A 16,390-nucleotide genomic window follows, 5' to 3' on the forward strand; every position below is an offset into this window, starting at 1 on the left:
CTACAAGTTATAGATCAGGCAACTTTAACTTTTGGATGCATAGTCAGTAATTAGAAAATAAAAAGCGGCCAGGCACGGTGGCTCACGCCTGTAATCCCAGCACTTTGGGAGGACGAAGCGGGTGGATCACCTGAGGTCAGGAGTTTGTAGACCAGCCTGGCCAACAAGGTGAAACCCCGTCTCTACTAAAAATACAAAAATTAGCCGGGCGTGGTGGCAGGCACTTGTAATCCCAGCTACTCGGGAGGTTGAGGCAGGAGACTCGCTTGAACCTGGGAGGTGGAGGTTGCAGTGAGCCGAGATCACGCCATCGCACTCCAGCCTGGGGGACAAGAGCGAGACTTCGTCTCAAAAAAAAAAGAAAATAAAAAGCCAACTCAGGTGTCACAAAGTATATTACTATGAGATTCTAAGAAATATTAAAAATAAACAATTACTAGCTAATAAAATGGTTGCTGATTACAAATATATTCAATCAGAAAATTTTTATTTCAAGAAGGTATAGCAGTAAAGAAAAACATGCCTGGGAATGTGAATATTCTTTGAAATTGATCCAACAAAAGCATGCTTGCATGACCAAGAGAGAGAACATCCATTGAGCATCAAGTTCAAAGCAAAATCATGCTTGCATAAGGAACATGGCACCCATCAAAAACAAACATCAGCTTCTAAAATGTGTTTTAAACTTAGGAATGTGTGTGGGTGTAACTGAAAGTACACAGGCTAATTTAGAGTGGGACCTGGGAATGAATCTGTTTCTGATTTTTCACTGGCTGTGTGCTTTTGTAGAAATTACTTACTAGTTTTCATTCTCAGGTTTCTTAGCTATAATATGTAGAGACCACCATCTACCCACTGGGCTGCATGGGGATTAAATGAAATACTGCAAGACATTATAGCAGGCACTTAGTAAAAAGGATTTCTTCCTCCTTTTTATCTGGAGAAAGTTATGCCAATAAGACAAAGTACTATGTACGTATATATAAAAAGGAACAAAAGAGGCACATTAATCTGATGGAGGGGACAGTGGAGACAGTCAGAGAAGGCCTCTTGGAGAAGTCTCTTCAAGGAGCAGGAAGTCACCAGTAGGGACAGATGGAACAATCCAAGCAAAAGCAGCAGCATGTACAGAGGTATGGAAATGAGACAGATAAACATAGGGAGAGCAGGACATTCTAAATGATCTGCAGTATCTAGATTATGTATTGTAGTAACTCTAAGAACTAACACTATTGAGTGGGATAGTGGGTATTAAGTTTAATAACATAAAATAATATATAATTTTTTTTTTTTTTGGAGATGGAGTCTTTCTCTGTCTCCCAGGCTGGAGTGCAGTGGCACAATCTCAGCTCACTGCAACCTCCATCTTCCAGGTTCAAGCAATTCTCCTGCCTCAGCCTCCCGAGTAGCTGGGACTACAGGCATGCATCACCACACCCAGCTAATTTTTGTATTTTTGGTAGAGACAGGATTTCACCATGTTAGCCAGGCTGGTCTCAAACTCCTGACCTCAGGCAATCCGCCCACCTTGGCATCCCAAAGCATTGGGATTACAGGCATAAGCCACCATGCCTAGACAATAATAGATAATATTTATTACAAGCCGGGCATGGTGGCTCACACTCGTAATCCCAGCACTTTGGGAAGCTGAGATGGGGAAGGATTGCTTGAGCCCAGGAGTTCAAGACCAGCCTGGGCAACATGATGAAACCCCATCTCTACAAAAAATTTCAAAATTAGCTGGTTGTGGTGTTGTGCACCTGTAATCCCAGCTACCTGGGAGGCTGAGGTGGGAGGATGGCTTGAGTCTGGGAAGTTTAGGCTGCAGTGAGCTGTGATTGTGCCACTGCACTTCAGCCTGGGCAACAGAATAAGACTCTTGTCTCAAAAAACAAATATTACTAAGCATTTTCTATACGCTTGGCACTAGTCGAAGTATTTTGCCTGAATTAGGGTTATTATAAGGATTCACTGAGTTAGTAATGTAAAATACTTAGAAGAGTGCTTGGCACAGAATAACTGTGAATTATTATGGGTTTTTTTTTCTGGAAATTAGGAATTGAGGTTATTTCTTAGGAATTGAGGTTAGTTCTCATTTGTGAGAAATTGGGATCTGGGAAAAGTAAGAAATTGTTGAAGAGAGTGGGGGCATGAGGTTCTCAGTGAAACACAGGAATGCTGAGCAGATACCCATACAGAATTGGTGGGAACAATCTGCCCTAGTGTGTAACTTCATAAGCACTGCATGCCTGTGCTCAGGAGTAGGCACTAAGAAAGCAGATAGCTGGCACCGAGATGGATGTGATGACAAAGAAGGGGGCAAGGGAATCGAGAGTATTGGCAAGAAAATAAAGTGTTGGGCTGGGTGCTGTGGCTCACGCCTGTAATCCTAGCACTTTGGGAGGCTGACGCAGGAGGATCACTTGAGCCCAGGAGTTTGAGACCAGCCTGAGCAACTAAGTGAGACCTTTTTTCTACAAAAAAAAAAAAAAAAAAGAAAGAAAAAAAGGCCGGGCACGGTGGCTCACGCCTGTAATCCCAGCACTCTGGGAGGCCGAGGCAGGTGGATCACGTGGTCAGGAGATCGAGACCATCCTGGCTAACACGGTGAAACCCCTTCTGAACTAAAAATAGAAAAAATTAGCCGGGCGTGGTGGCGGGTGCCTGTAGTCCCAGCTACTCGGAGGCTGAGGCAGGAGAATGGCATGAACCCGGGAGGCGGAGCATGCAGTGAGCCGAGATAGCGCGACTGCAGTCCAGCCTGGGCGAAAGAGCAAGACTCCGTCTCAAAAAAAAAAAAAAAAAAAAAAAAGAAAAAGAAAAAAATTAGCCAGGTGTGGTGGCACATGCCTGCAGTCCCAGTTCTTCAGGAAGCTTAGGTAGGAGGGTCACTTGAGCCTGGGAGGTTGAGGCTGCAGTAAGACCTGTTTGAGCCACTGCATTCTAGCCTGGGCAACAGAGTGAGATCCTGAAAAAAAAAAAAAAGAAAATAAAGTGTTGGACTTTGATTGTAACCCAAGAAGAAAGCAAAATGGAGAGGGCTGAAAGTTTAGGAAAATATACACTAGAATATAAAAGTCTATAAGGGCAGGAGCTTTTGTTCTGTTTTGTTTACTTCTTTGTATCTCCAGTGTCTAGAGCCGTGTATGGGAGAATTAGCATGCTGACACAATTCTACTTTCTACACTTGTATTCTACTTATGGAATAGTCATGACGGTAATTAAGACAGACAGACTCATAATCCTATCAAATCTTCAGATCTACTAATTACCAATTTACAGTAAATCAGGAGGGCAGAAGATGTTAAAGGACAACATAAGGATATAAAATTGCAGGGAAAAGAAAAGGAGCGGGGCAGGGGAAACAGATTAAAAGAGACAAAAAACATTTCAATCATTTGGAAGGTATGGACATTATTGAGATCCTGATTTGAACACACTATAAAAAATTAGGACATAGGCCCGGCCCGGTGGCTCAGGCCTGTAATCCCAGCACTTTGGGAGGCCAAGGCGGGTGGATCACCTGAGGTCAGAAGTTAGAGACCAGCCTTGCCAACATGGTGAAACTCCGTCTCTACTAAAAATACAAAAATTAGCTGGGTGTGGTGGCGTAGGCCTGTAATCCCAGCTACTCGGGAGGCTGAGGCAGGAGAATCACTTGAACCGGGGAGGCTGAGGCTGCAGTGAGCCGAGATCGCACCACTGCACTCCAGCCTGGGCGACAGAGCAAAACTCCGTCTCAAAAAAAAAAAAAAAAAAAAAAAATCAGGACATAATTGAGGAAATATGAACACTGAGTATTTTGTAAGTATTATTATTATTTTATTATTATTATTTTTTGAGACGAAGTCTTGCTCTTGTCACCCAGGCTGGAGTGCAGGGGCGTGATCTCGGCTCACTGCAAGCTCCGCCTCCCAGGTTCACGCCATTCTCCTGCCTCAGCCTCCCGAATAGCTGGGACTACAGGCACCCGCCACCACACCCGGCTAATTTTTTGTATTTTTAGTAGGGACGGCGTTTCAGGCGTTTCACCTTGTTAGCCGGGATGGTCTCGGTCTGCTGACCTCAGGTGATCCGCCCGCCTCGGCCTCCCAAAGTGAGTAAGCATTATTTTTATTTGCTGTGATAATAGTACTGTAGTTATGTTAAAAAGAGTCCTTATCTTTTAGAGGTAAATAATTGAAATATTTACATATGAAATGACATGGTATCTGGGATTTGCTTCAAAATACACAGTATGTATGAGCATAAGGCAAGACTGGCCATGAATTGATAACTTTAATCTGGGTGCTGGTTACATGGGGGCTCATTATATACTTCTCTTAATTGCCATATATGCTCCTTCTCTATAAAACTTATCATATTCTAAATAGCAAAAACAGTATGTTACTATTATTTCCACTTCACTTGCTCTCCAGTGGGTATGTAAAGAGGGAAAATAAAAAAGGAAATGGTTGTAACAAACGTAGCCACCTAAAGCCAGGAAGGACAGGGCCAGTACCATAAGATCCATACACTCAACACATGAATCAAGTAGGGATTGTTTTTAAAAGGGATGCTATAAGCTACTTTTTTAAAAATCAACTTTATTGAAGTATAATTTACGTGATAAATGTATACATTTGTCCATCTCAATCTTTATTGAGATGTATAACTTTTCTATCCACATCTCTGCTAACATTTGGTATTATCAGCCTTTTGGATTTTAGCTATTCTAGTGGGTGTATAGTGCCTCGTTGTAATTTTAATCTGCATTTTCCTGAGAATAATGTTTAACATTTGTGCTAAATTTTGATTATACATATACATATTTTTCAATTGTAACAATGTAATAATCTCTGGCAAATATCTTTATTATAACTTTTATTTCTGTATTTCTATATTATTTTATGAGGAATATTATACAATTTGAACACTACAAGCCACAGAAAATGATCAGTTTATGGAACTAAGTCCGACTTCCAGGTAAAACGTAACTATGGTATGGTATTTACAGTTTGTGTTGACTAAAATAAGCTCCCGGCTGCCAGATGGAGCTATAAGGTTGCCACCTCTACTGCCACCATCTGGTAACATTAAAAACAAATAAAAATATAGAAACTATACAATTCTGGGTTAGCCAAAGTCAAATTTCCAACACAACTCTTTCTCACGCACAGATCTTTGAAACTATAGAATGCATTCAAACTGATTTGTTCTTTAGTTTTCGTTACTTTTAAATAAACTATATTACAAAAGTGTCAAATAGCAAAATATTTTAATTTTCTCAAATTCAGGGAAGATGCTTTATGACGTACCTGCTTTTCGATTTGTTCCAAGACCTTTGGCAAATTACTTTAGAACTCCATAGGTATCTTGAGGATAACTGAACCTTTTCCTAACTTAAATCATAGACTGCCAGACGGAAAAAAAATGTCCTCGATGTTTTTAGTCTCTTACTGCACAATGTCAAGATATCAGCTGGGTTATACAATAGTTGCCCTCTGCATACTCACAAATGTTAACTCCAGTCCTTTTTTGTCTTCCCTCCCCGCCTAAGAAGCTACCAGGTCACATGCTGGCGGATACGCAGTGGCGGAAACCTAGCGGTGACAGGGAAGGACAGCCCTCTGCCTACTGATCTGCAGGTTTCTCCTCCAGTTTGCTCTTACACCGGGGTCCTCCGCTCGGACCTTAGCCCATTCATTTGATGATTCTCTCCCAGTTCGTTCTTCCACTGGGTCCCTTGCTCAGCACTACCCAAAATAACCACCAGCTCAGCGCCGGCTGCACCGCCGCTCCCCCGCCCCCGCCCCCGCCCCCGCCCCCGCCCGGTGGGGCTGCACCTGCCGAGGCCCCGGCTCGGCTCCGCGATCACGGTCGCGGCCCCCGGGGTTCCCGAGGGGCTTCTGCGCACCGAGGCAGGCGGGACTGAGCGGCACTCTGAACGGGCTCCCCTCTTAATGTCCCCTCGCGCCTGAGCAGCTCCGGTCCCGCCGGCGCAGGGTGCGGGTACCCGGGCCATGCCGGCCCAGAGACCGCCGCCCCCGGTACCGCTGCCCACTCGAAGCCCCTGGACGACCCCGCCGCTTACCGGCTTCGGCCCGTGGGGCGCCCGGTAGAAGAGGCGTGCGGTCCGTGCTCTCCTCGCCATCGTTCCGGGCCAGGTCTCGAACCGGAGACCTCATGACGCCTACGTGAGCAGGTGTACTCGCCACCTGGCAGAGAAGGGAGCGCCGGCCCGACAGCCCGAAGCCCCCGGGCCGAGCTGGCTGGACCGGGCGGGGCGGGGGCGATGACACCGCCCCGCGGCCACGTCTAGTCCCCGCGGTCCCGCCCAGAGGCGGCCGCGCCGACTCCGCCCCCGCCGCCATCTTAGGTGTGGGCAACTCTGGCTTGGGTTGGACTAGGGAAGCGGAGTTCTGGGAGTTCTCGTAGGATTGGCGCAAAGTGAGCCCGCTCCGCCCGCCGGTCTACGCATGCCGGGGAGCCGGTGTTCGGACGACCGTCTCCCGCTCCTGCACCCCCTTGTAAAGTGCAGGGGCCACCCTGCCCGCAGCGAGGATGAGTGGGGGCTTGCGGGCGGGCAGTGGGGACTTGAATTGCACATAATTAAGGGGAGGGCTTCGACCGAACTAGGGAAGTGGGTGGTGTGCATTTCACAACTTGACATTCGCTTGTTAGCGGTCAGTTGCCATACTGTTAGCAACCTTTGTACGATCTACCTCGTGACTGTGGCGGCATATTTACCTCGTGACTGTGGCGGCATATTGTCCCTAAAATAGCTTTTTTTTTTTTTTTTTTTTCTCCCAGGCAGGGTCTTGCTCTGTTGCCCAAGCTGGAATGCAGTGGCGCAATCGCAGCTCACTGCAACCTCCAACTCCTGGACTCAAGCGATTCTCTTCAGCTCCCCCAAGTAGCTGGGACTACAGGAGCATGCCACCACATCTGGCTAATTTTGTTTCTACTTTTTATTTTTGTAGAGGCTTGGTCTTATTATATTGCCCAAGCTGGTTTCGAACTCCTGGGCTCAAGCAATCCTCCTCGGCCTCCCAAAGTGCTGGGATTACAGGCGTGAGCCACTGCTCCTGGTCCTAAAATAGCTTTTAGGCGGAAAAACAGCAATGGAAATTTGTTGAGTCCTATGATGTTGCTGGTTTTATAGGTAAAAGTAATCAACATAGGTAGTTTCATATGGTTCGACCTATGGAATCCTCTGATGTATGTGTGCATGCTTTATCTCCACGATAGAATTTGGATAGATTGTGCTAGCATTTGCGGACTCTGAAAGTGAAACTAGGAAAACCCAGCTTGCCTTGGCAGGGCAGATCTGGATCCGCCAATAAAGGCTGTCTCTGTGGAGGTAGAAAATAAGATGTAGATGCTCTCGGAGAGTTTGGTGTAGACAGGGAAGACCCACAAGCCACTAATTCAGTAAACCAGGTTAGAAGCTTAGTGAGGTTCACGTGAGAACAAAGGGGAGGGTCCTTTACCTAGAAGGGAGGGCGAGGATTTCTGTAGGCATCCCTACCTCCAGATCAGTAAATGCTAGAAAAGTTCTCAAGTTAAAGCAGCAAATCAAGCCTTGTTTCTGAGTTACTGAATTACCATGTAGATTTTTACACTCTCTAAGGGTTGTAGAAAAATGCAATTTTCAAACTGGATTATGCAGAGTCACCTGGCAAATCCTTTTAAAATGTAGATTCAGATTCAGCAGATCTGGTGTGATGGTTAATTTTATGTGTTAACTTGCTGGTTGTCTTTGGATGAGGTTAACACTAAAATCATTGAACTCTGGGTAAAGATGGCTGCCTTCCATAATCTGGGTGGGCTTCCTTCAATCAGTTGAAGGCCTATCTAGAATAAAAAATCCGACTCCCCCACTTCTCTTGCCCAAGCAAGGGAGACTTCTCCAGCAGAGTGTCCTCAGACTTCATCTGCACCACAGGTCCTCCTGGGTCTCCAGGCATGTGCACCATCATCTGTTTTGGGTCGAGTTGGCCAGCCTATATTGTGAAAGCCAAAACTTTATTACCCAAACTACCCAATTGGGGCTGTTTCTCTGAGAAGCCCAGTACATCTGGGATGTGCCTGAGATTCTGTATTGCTAACAAGCTCCCAGATGACCAAGGTTATAGATAACTTGGGCCAGGGAATATAGTTGCAACAGACTTGAAAGACTTCAAACCAGAGGAATTCTTTTTTTTAATATTTTTTATTTTAGAAATTTTAGGTTTACATAAACGTTGCAAAGATAGTACAGTGAGTTCTCCATACCCTTTGCTTAGTTTGACCTATTATTAAGATCTTACATTAGTATCATGCATATATCATAACTAACGAGCCAGTATAGATAATTATTAACTGAAGTTCATACTTAATTTGCGTTTCTTTAATTTTTACCTAATATCCTTTTTCGGTCCCAGGATCTCATCCAGGATGCCACATTACATGTCTCCTTAGGCTCCTCTAGATCGACAGTTCCTGACTTTCATTGCTTTTGCTGACCTTGACAGTTTTGTAGAGTACTGGTAGGTTTTGTAGAAAGTGTCTTAATTTGGGTTGTCGAATTTTTTTTTGAGACGAGGTCACGCTCTGTCGTCCAGGCTAGAGTGCAGTGGCACGATCTCGGCTCACTGCAGCCTCCACCTCCCAGGTTCAAGCGATTCTCCTGCCTCAACGTCCCGAGTAGCTGGGACTATAGGTGCATGCCACCACGCCCGGCTAATTTTTTGTATTTTTAGTAGAGATGGGGTTTCACCATGTTAGCCAGGATGGTCTCCATCTCCTGACCTCCTGCCTCAGCCTCCACCTGCCTCAGCCTCCCAAAGTGCTGGGATTACAGGCATGAACCACCACCCCCGGCCTGAATGTTTTTCTTATAATTAGACTGGGGTTATGGATTTTTGAGGGAAAGGTCATAGAGGTAAAGGGCCATTCTCATCATGTAATGTCAAGGGAATGTGCTGTCAACTTATTTATCACTGATGTTTATCAGTAGTGATGGTAAGCCTCATTGCATGCCTGAGGTTGTGTTTGTCAGGTGTTTTCACTGTGAAGTTAACTCTTTTCCCCCGGCCTTACTTTTCTCTTTGGAAGGAAATCAGTATGTGCAGCCTTCACTTAAGGGGTGGGGAGTTATCTATACTCCACCAGTTTCAGGGGAAGAATTCTTTTGTTTGGGAGATTTGTTTATTCTCCTACATTTATTTACTTATTCAATCATTTATTTTTATTAGTATGATGTCATGGTTATTATTTTATACTTTGGGTTATACTCCCAACACTATGTTATTTATTTTGTTGCTCAAATTGTTCCAGCTTTGGTGACTAAGAGCTCTTTCAGTTGGCTCTTGTGTCTTGCATGCCTCCATTGTTGTGTTTTTTGAGCATTCCCTTACTTTCTGGTACAACAAGATGTTCCAGGCTCATCTTGTGTATTCTCTACCCCTGCCATTTCTATAAGGAGAATGATATTACAAACTAACATCTGAGCATTGGGTGTACTTCTTCCTATTGCAGTGTCATTGATTCTAGGTTCAGAGGAGGTACTTTGGTTTTTGTTTTTATAATCTTCCCAAGAAGATTTTGAGACAGGATCTTACTCTGTCACCTAAGCTTGAGTGCAGAGGTGTGATCACGGCTCCCTGTAGGCTCCACCTCCTGGGCTCAAGTGATCCTCCTACCTCAGCCTCCCTGGTAGCTGAGACCACAGGCATGTGCCACCACGCCCTGCTAATTTAAAAACATTTTTGTTAGAGACAGGGCCTCCCTGTGACGCCCAGGCTGGGCTCAAGCAGTCCTCCTGCCTTGACCTTCCAAAGTATTGATATGATAGGTGTGAACCACTGTGCCTGGCCCCAAGAAGATTAAAAAAAAGTATGATGACACATTTTTTCCCCCTTATATCTGGCATTTATTTCCTGATTGCACACTACCATAAAAGATCATTGTTGGTGTTATTTATTTATTATTATTATTATTTTGAGACAGAGTTTCACTCTTGTTGCTCAGGCTGGAGTGCAGTGGTGCAATCTCAGTTCACTGCAACCTCCTGGGTTCAAGCGATTCTCCTGCCTTAGCCTCCGGAGTAGCTGGGATTACAGGCGCCCACCACCATGCCCGGCTAATTTTTTGTATTTTTAGTAGAGATAGGATTTCACCATGTTGGCCAGGCTGGTCTTGAACTCCTGACCTCCGGTGATCCAACCATCTCGGCCTCCCAAAGTGTTGGGATTACAGGCGTGAGCCACCATGCCCAGCCTATTTTTTTTTTCTCCTTTCCTGGTCTTTTTTTTTTTTTTTTCTTACATGGTTTGTTTGAATCTGGATCCATTCATGTTCAGACCTCACATACCGTAGACATCTCTCACATGTCTTTATGTTTTCTCCTTGCAATTTCTTCCTTTTTCTTTTCTTTTCTTTCTTTCTTTCTCTTTCTTTCTTTCTTTCTTTTTCTTTCTGTCTCTCTCTCTCTTTCTTTCTTTCTCTCTCTCTCTTTCTTTCTGTCTCTCTCTCTCTCTCTCTTTCTTTCTTTTTTTTTTTATGGAGTTTCGCTCTTGTTGCCCAGGCTGGAGTGCAGTGGCACGATCTTGGCTCAGTGGAACCTCCACCTCCCAGGTTCAAGCAGTTCTCCTGCCTCAGCCTCCCGAGTAGCTGGGACTATAGGCATGTGCCACCACGCCCGGCTAATTTTTGTATTTTTAGTAGAGACGGGGTTTTGCCATGTTGGCCAGGCTGGTCTCAAACTCCTGACCTCAGGTAGTCCGCCCGCCTTGGCCTCCCACAGTGGTGGGATTATAGGCATGAGCCACTGCGCCCGGCCTCATATTTATTCTTTAGTTGATACTTTTCCTTTATCAACACTTTAGACTAGCACTGTTCAGTAGAAATATAATGCAAACCATAGATGTAATTTTAAATTTTCTAGTAGCCACATTAAAAAAGTAAAACAAAGCAAAACAAAAATGGGGAAATTAATTGTATGACATGCATTTTTAATCCGATATATCAGTTCAACATGTAATCAATATAAAATGATTAATGAGATAAGCTCTTTTGTTGGTACTAATTTTTTTTTTATTTTTTATTTTATTCTATTTTTTTGAGACGGAGTCTCGCTCTGTCACCCAGGCTGGAGTGAAATGGTGTGATCTTGGCTCACTGCAACCTCCACCTCCCGGGTTCAAACAATTTTCCTGCCTCAGCCTCCTGAGTAGCTGGGATCACAGGCACCCACCACCACACCTGGCTAATTTTTGTATTTTTAGTAGAGACAGGGTTTCACCATGTTGACCAGGCTGGTCTCGAACTCCTGACTTCAGGCTATCTGCCTGACTCGGCCTCCCAAAGTGCTGGGATTACAGGCGTGAGCCACCAGGTCCGGCCTGGTACTAAATTTTGAAACCCAGTGTGTATTTTATACCTACAGCACATCTCCATTAGGACCAGCCACATTTCAAGTGCTCAATAGCCACATTGTGTCTGGGTCTACCGTATTGGACAGCATAGTTCTAGACCATGTGAGGGCTTACACTCTCTGTCTCTCCCATCTGCCATCCTGTCTTTGGATGGGAAAGGAACACCTTTTGGATAGAGTATCTAGTTCAAAAGCCTCTAGCTGTTTTTCTTAGTTTCTTCTTCTCTCAAATGAAGATAATAATAGAAACATTTTCATAGGGGGGGTTGTAAGAATTAGATAATTAAATAAGATAATACCTGTAAATTACAGTACTGTACCTGGTGGGTACTGTACTGTAATTATTACATTTCAATATATGTTAGCCATTAGCATTTTTTTTTTTTGAGACGGAGTTTAACCCTCATTACACAGGCTGGAGTGCAATGGCGTGATCTTGGCTCACTGCAACCTCCACCTCCTGGGTTCCAGCGATTCTCCTGCCTCAGCCTCCTGAATTGCTGGGATTACAGGAGCCTGCCACCATGCCCAGCTAATTTTTGTTATTTTTAATAGAGACGGGGTTTCAGCATGTTGGCCAGGCTGGTCTTGAACTCCTGACCTCAGATGATCCACCCCCGCTTGGCCTCTCAAAGTGCTGGGATTACAGGCGTGAGCCACCGCGCTTGGCCGCCATTACCATTTTTATTTTATTTTGTTTTATTTATTTATTTATTTATTTATTTATTTATTTATTTATTTTTTATTGATCATTCTTGGGTGTTTCTCACAGAGGGGGATTTGGCAGGGTCATAGGACAATAGTGGAGGGAAGGTCAGCAGATAAACAAGTGAACAAAGGTCTCTGGTTTTCCTAGGCAGAGTACCCTGCGGCCTTCCGCAGTGTTTGTGTCCCTGGGTACTTGAGATTAGGGAGTGGTGACGACTCTTAACGAGCATGCTGCCTTCAAGCATCTGTTTAACAAAGCACATCTTGCACCGCCCTTAATCCATTTAACCCTGAGTGGACACAGCACATGTTTCAGAGAGCACAGGGTTGGGGGTAAGGTCACCGATCAACAGGATCCCAAGGCAGAAGAATTTTTCTTAGTATAGAACAAAATGAAAAGTCTCCCATGTCTACTTCTTTCTACACAGACACGGCAACCATCCGATTTCTCAATCTTTTCCCCACCTTTCCCCCCTTTCTATTCCACAAAACCGCCATTGTCATCATGGCCCGTTCTTAATGAGCTGTTGGGCATACCTCCCAGACGGGGTGGTGGCCGGGCAGAGGGGCTCCTCACTTCCCAGTAGGGGCGGCTGGGCAGAGGCGACCCTCACCTCCCGGATGGGGCAGCTGGCCGGGCGGGGGGCTGACCCCCCCACCTCCCTCCCGGACGGGGCGGCTGGCCGGGCGGGGGGCTGACCCCCCCACCTCCCTCCCGGACGGGGCGGCTGGCCGGCCGGGGGGCTGACCCCCCCACCTCCCTCCCGGACGAGGCGGCTGGCCGGGCAGAGGGGCTCCTCACTTCCCAGTAGGGGCGGCTGGGCAGAGGCGCCCCTCACCTCCCGGATGGGGCAGCTGGCCGGGCGGGGGGCTGACTCCCCCACCTCCCTCCCAGACCGGGCGGCTGGCTGGGCGGGGGGCTGACCCCCCCACCTCCCTCCCGGACGGGGCGGCTGGCCGGGCGGGGGGCTGACCCCCCCCACCTCCCTCCCGGAGGGGGTGGCTGCCGGGCGGAGATGCTCCTCACTTCCCAGACGGGGTGGCTGCCGGGCGGAGAGGCTCCTCACTTCTCAGACGGGGCGGCTGCTGGGCGGAGGGGCTCCTCACTTCTCAGACGGGGCGGTTGCCAGGCAGAGGGTCTCCTCACTTCTCAGACGGGGTGGCTGGGCAGAGACGCTCCTCACCTCCCAGACGGGGTCGCGGCCGGGCAGAGGTGCTCCTCACATCCCAGACGGGGCGGCGGGGCAGAGGCGCTCCCCACATCTCAGACGATGGGCGGCCGGGCAGAGACGCTCCTCACTTCCCAGATGGGATGGCTGCCAGGAAGAGGCGCTCCTCACTTCCTAGATGGGATAGCGGCCGGACGGAGACGCTCCTCACTTCCCAGACTGGGTAGCCAGGCAGAGGGGCTCCTCACTTCCCAGACGATGGGCGGCCAGGCAGAGACGCTCCTCACTTCCCAGACGGGGTGGCGGCCGGGCAGAGGATGCAATCTCGGCACTTTGGGAGGCCAAGGCAGGCGGCTGGGAGGTGGAGGTTGTAGCGAGCCGAGATCACGCCACCGCACTCCAGCCGGGGCACCATTGAGCACTGAGTGAACGAGACTCCGTCTGCAATCCCGGCACCTCGGGAGGCCCAGGCTGGCGGATCCCTCGCGGTTAGGAGCTGGAGACCGGCCAGGCCAACACAGCGAAACCCCGTCTCCACCAAAAAAAATACGAAAACCAGTCAGGCGTGGCAGCGCGTGCCTGCAATCGCAGGCACTCGGCAGGCTGAGGCAGGAGAATCAGGCAGGGAGGTTGCAGTGAGCCGAGATGGCAGCAGTACAGTCCAGCTTCGGCTCGGCATGAGAGGGAGACCGTGGAAACAGAGGGAGAGGGAGACCGTGGGGAGACGGGAGAGGGAGAGGGAGAGGGAGAGCTGGATTTCAAAGCTTCATCCATGCTGAGCTGCAAGGGGAATGGACAGAACTGGAAACTGGGGCAGACTGGAGTTGCCAGCCTAGGCTGGGCTGTGAGCTCCATGGAGCAGATGCCGGGCCATCCTGCCCCGGCTCTAAGCCCAGCCCCAGGCCAGGGCCGGCACCTGGTAGGCTCTTCATGAGTGCTTCCTGAATGAATGCTGCAGAATGAAAATCCACCCAGAGGAGGCCAGGCCTGCCATTTTTTTAGAGTTAAATTTGCTTTGCAAAATGAGCTTACCTATCTTAGGAACAACCCATTTGATTTTAATTATATCTCTTTTAGGATACATATCATTTTCTGTATGGAATTTTATAGTTAGTAGTTGATTATTTAATGTTTTAGTTTCCTTTTATAACTGTAGGTTTCCTAGGAGCTGGAACAAAGTCTTATTTATTTTCTGCAACCTGAGCAGATCCCAGTTCTTGTCCTTTCACTGTGTTCATTGTGTTTCACAGTGCCTCATCATATTGGCCTTAGTGAAATTTTCAAGTATGTAGGAATATATGGGGAATAAAAAGTAAATGGAGGGGCAGATATTTAAATCACCAATTTAGTAATTAATTACTTTTTGAGATGGAGTCTCACTCTGTTGTCCAGGCTGGAGTGCAGTGGTGCAATCTGTGCTCACTGCAACCTCTACCTCCAGGGTTCAAGCAGTTCTCCTGCCTCAGCCTCCTGAGTAACTGGGATTACAGGCACCTGCCACCACACCTGGCTAATTTCTGTATTTTTAGTAAAGACAGGTTTCACCGTGTTGGCCAGGCTGGGCTCAGACTCCCAATGTCAAGTGATCTGCCTGCCTCGGTCTCCCAAAGTGCTGGGATTACAGGCGTGAGCCACTGCACCCAGGCTGAATGATTAATTTAGACTTGATAAACTTGGTAAAGGAATTTTTTGATGAACAATATGGTTCTATAAAATAATCCTTTTTTGCCGGGCGCAGTGGCTCATGCCTGTAATCCCAGCACTTGGGGAGGCTGAGGCAGGCAGATCACCTGAGGTCAGGAGTTCAAGACCAGCCTGACCAACACAGAGAAACCCCGTCTCTACTAAAAATACAAAATTAGCCGGGTGTGGTGGCTCATGCCTGTAATCCCAGCTACTCGGGAGGCTAAGGCAGGAGAATCACTTGAACCCAGGAGGCGGAGGTTGCCATAAGCCGAGATCATGCCATTGCACTCCAACCTGGGCAACAAGAGCGAAACTCTGTCTCAAAAAAAAAAAATTATAATAATAATCCCTTTTTTTTATACCAGCTTTTCCTCTAAAATAAATTATAATAAATTATAAAGATTATTGGCCAGGCATGGTGGCTCATGCCTGTAATACCAGCACTTTGGAAAGCCGAGGTGGGAGGATTGCTTGAGCCCAGGAGTTCGAGACCAGCCAGGACAACAAAGCAAGACCCCCATCTCTATAAAACAAATAAACAAACAAAACCTAAAAGAAAAAACTGGCCGGGCGTGGTGGCTCATGCCTGTAATCTCAGCACTTTGGGAGGCTGAGATGGGCAGATCACCTGAGGTCAGGAGTTCGAGACCAGCCTGGCCAACATGGTGAAACTCCGTCTCTACTAAAAATACAAAAATTAGCCAGGCATGGTGGTAGGTGCCTGTAATTTCAACTACTCGGGCTGAAGCAATCAGCCTACCTTGGCCTCCCAAATTGCTGGGATTACAGGCATGAGCCACGGTGCTCGGCCTGTTATCCCTTTTAAAAACTTTTCAATAGTAGCTTATTGCTTAGATATTCACATTTTTGATTGTGCATCCCATCACTAAAAATTTTGAATATGCACTGATAAGGGCAGAATGAGATATCTTTCCTCACGCATCATAAGGGGCACAGCTGACGCTCTATAATGAAAGACAGGTTAACAAGATAAGATAACAGATGACAAATTTAATCAAAGTTTTTATTATTATTATTATTTTTTTGAGACAGAGTCTTGCTCTTTTGCCCAGGCTGGAGTGCAGTGGTGCGATCTCGGCTCACTGCAAGCTCCGCCTCCCGGGTTCACGCCATTCTCCTGCCTCAGCCTCCCGAGTAGCTGGGACTACAGGCGCCTGCCACCGCACCCAGCTAATTTTTTGTATTTTTAGTAGAGACGGGGGTTTCACCGTGTTAGCCAGGATGAGTCTTGATCTCCTGACCTCGTGATCCACCAGCCTCGGCCTCCCAAAGTGCTGGGATTACAGGCGTGAGACACCGCGCCCGGCCAAATTAATCGAAGTTTTATGTGATATGGGAGCTTCAGAAATGAATCTCCAAAGACCCAGGGCAAACTGTCTCTTTTTATGCTCGGGTTCAGTGAAGAATG

The 16,390-nt window shown here is 47.0% G+C and overlaps 1 protein-coding gene across 10 annotated transcripts in view, besides 2 other annotated features; it reads right to left on the minus strand.

Annotated features, from left to right (window-relative positions):
* Nucleotides 1–6,273, minus strand: part of SLC17A5 (solute carrier family 17 member 5) — a 60,614-nt gene extending 54,341 nt beyond the window's left edge. For all 10 annotated transcript variants that reach the window (NM_001382636.1, NM_001382629.1, NM_001382632.1 and 7 more), the window contains exon 1: nt 6,074–6,273. In NM_001382636.1, coding sequence (NP_001369565.1) covers nt 6,074–6,133 — 60 coding nt within the window. In that variant the 5' untranslated portion in view covers nt 6,134–6,273. The remainder of the gene's footprint in view (nt 1–6,073) is intronic.
* Nucleotides 5,719–6,388: a silencer, noted in NCBI's record as "silent region_17338". NCBI's record gives its function as "represses an Ori minimal core promoter by ATAC-STARR-seq in GM12878 lymphoblastoid cells {active_cell/tissue: GM12878}" and the evidence as "EXISTENCE:reporter gene assay evidence [ECO:0000049][PMID:35858748]".
* Nucleotides 7,388–7,477: an enhancer, noted in NCBI's record as "active region_24754". NCBI's record gives its function as "activates an Ori minimal core promoter by ATAC-STARR-seq in GM12878 lymphoblastoid cells {active_cell/tissue: GM12878}" and the evidence as "EXISTENCE:reporter gene assay evidence [ECO:0000049][PMID:35858748]".

The sequence above is a fragment of the Homo sapiens genome, chromosome 6, assembly GCF_000001405.40.
Source record: "Homo sapiens chromosome 6, GRCh38.p14 Primary Assembly".
Classification (NCBI taxonomy): Eukaryota; Metazoa; Chordata; class Mammalia; order Primates; family Hominidae; genus Homo; species Homo sapiens.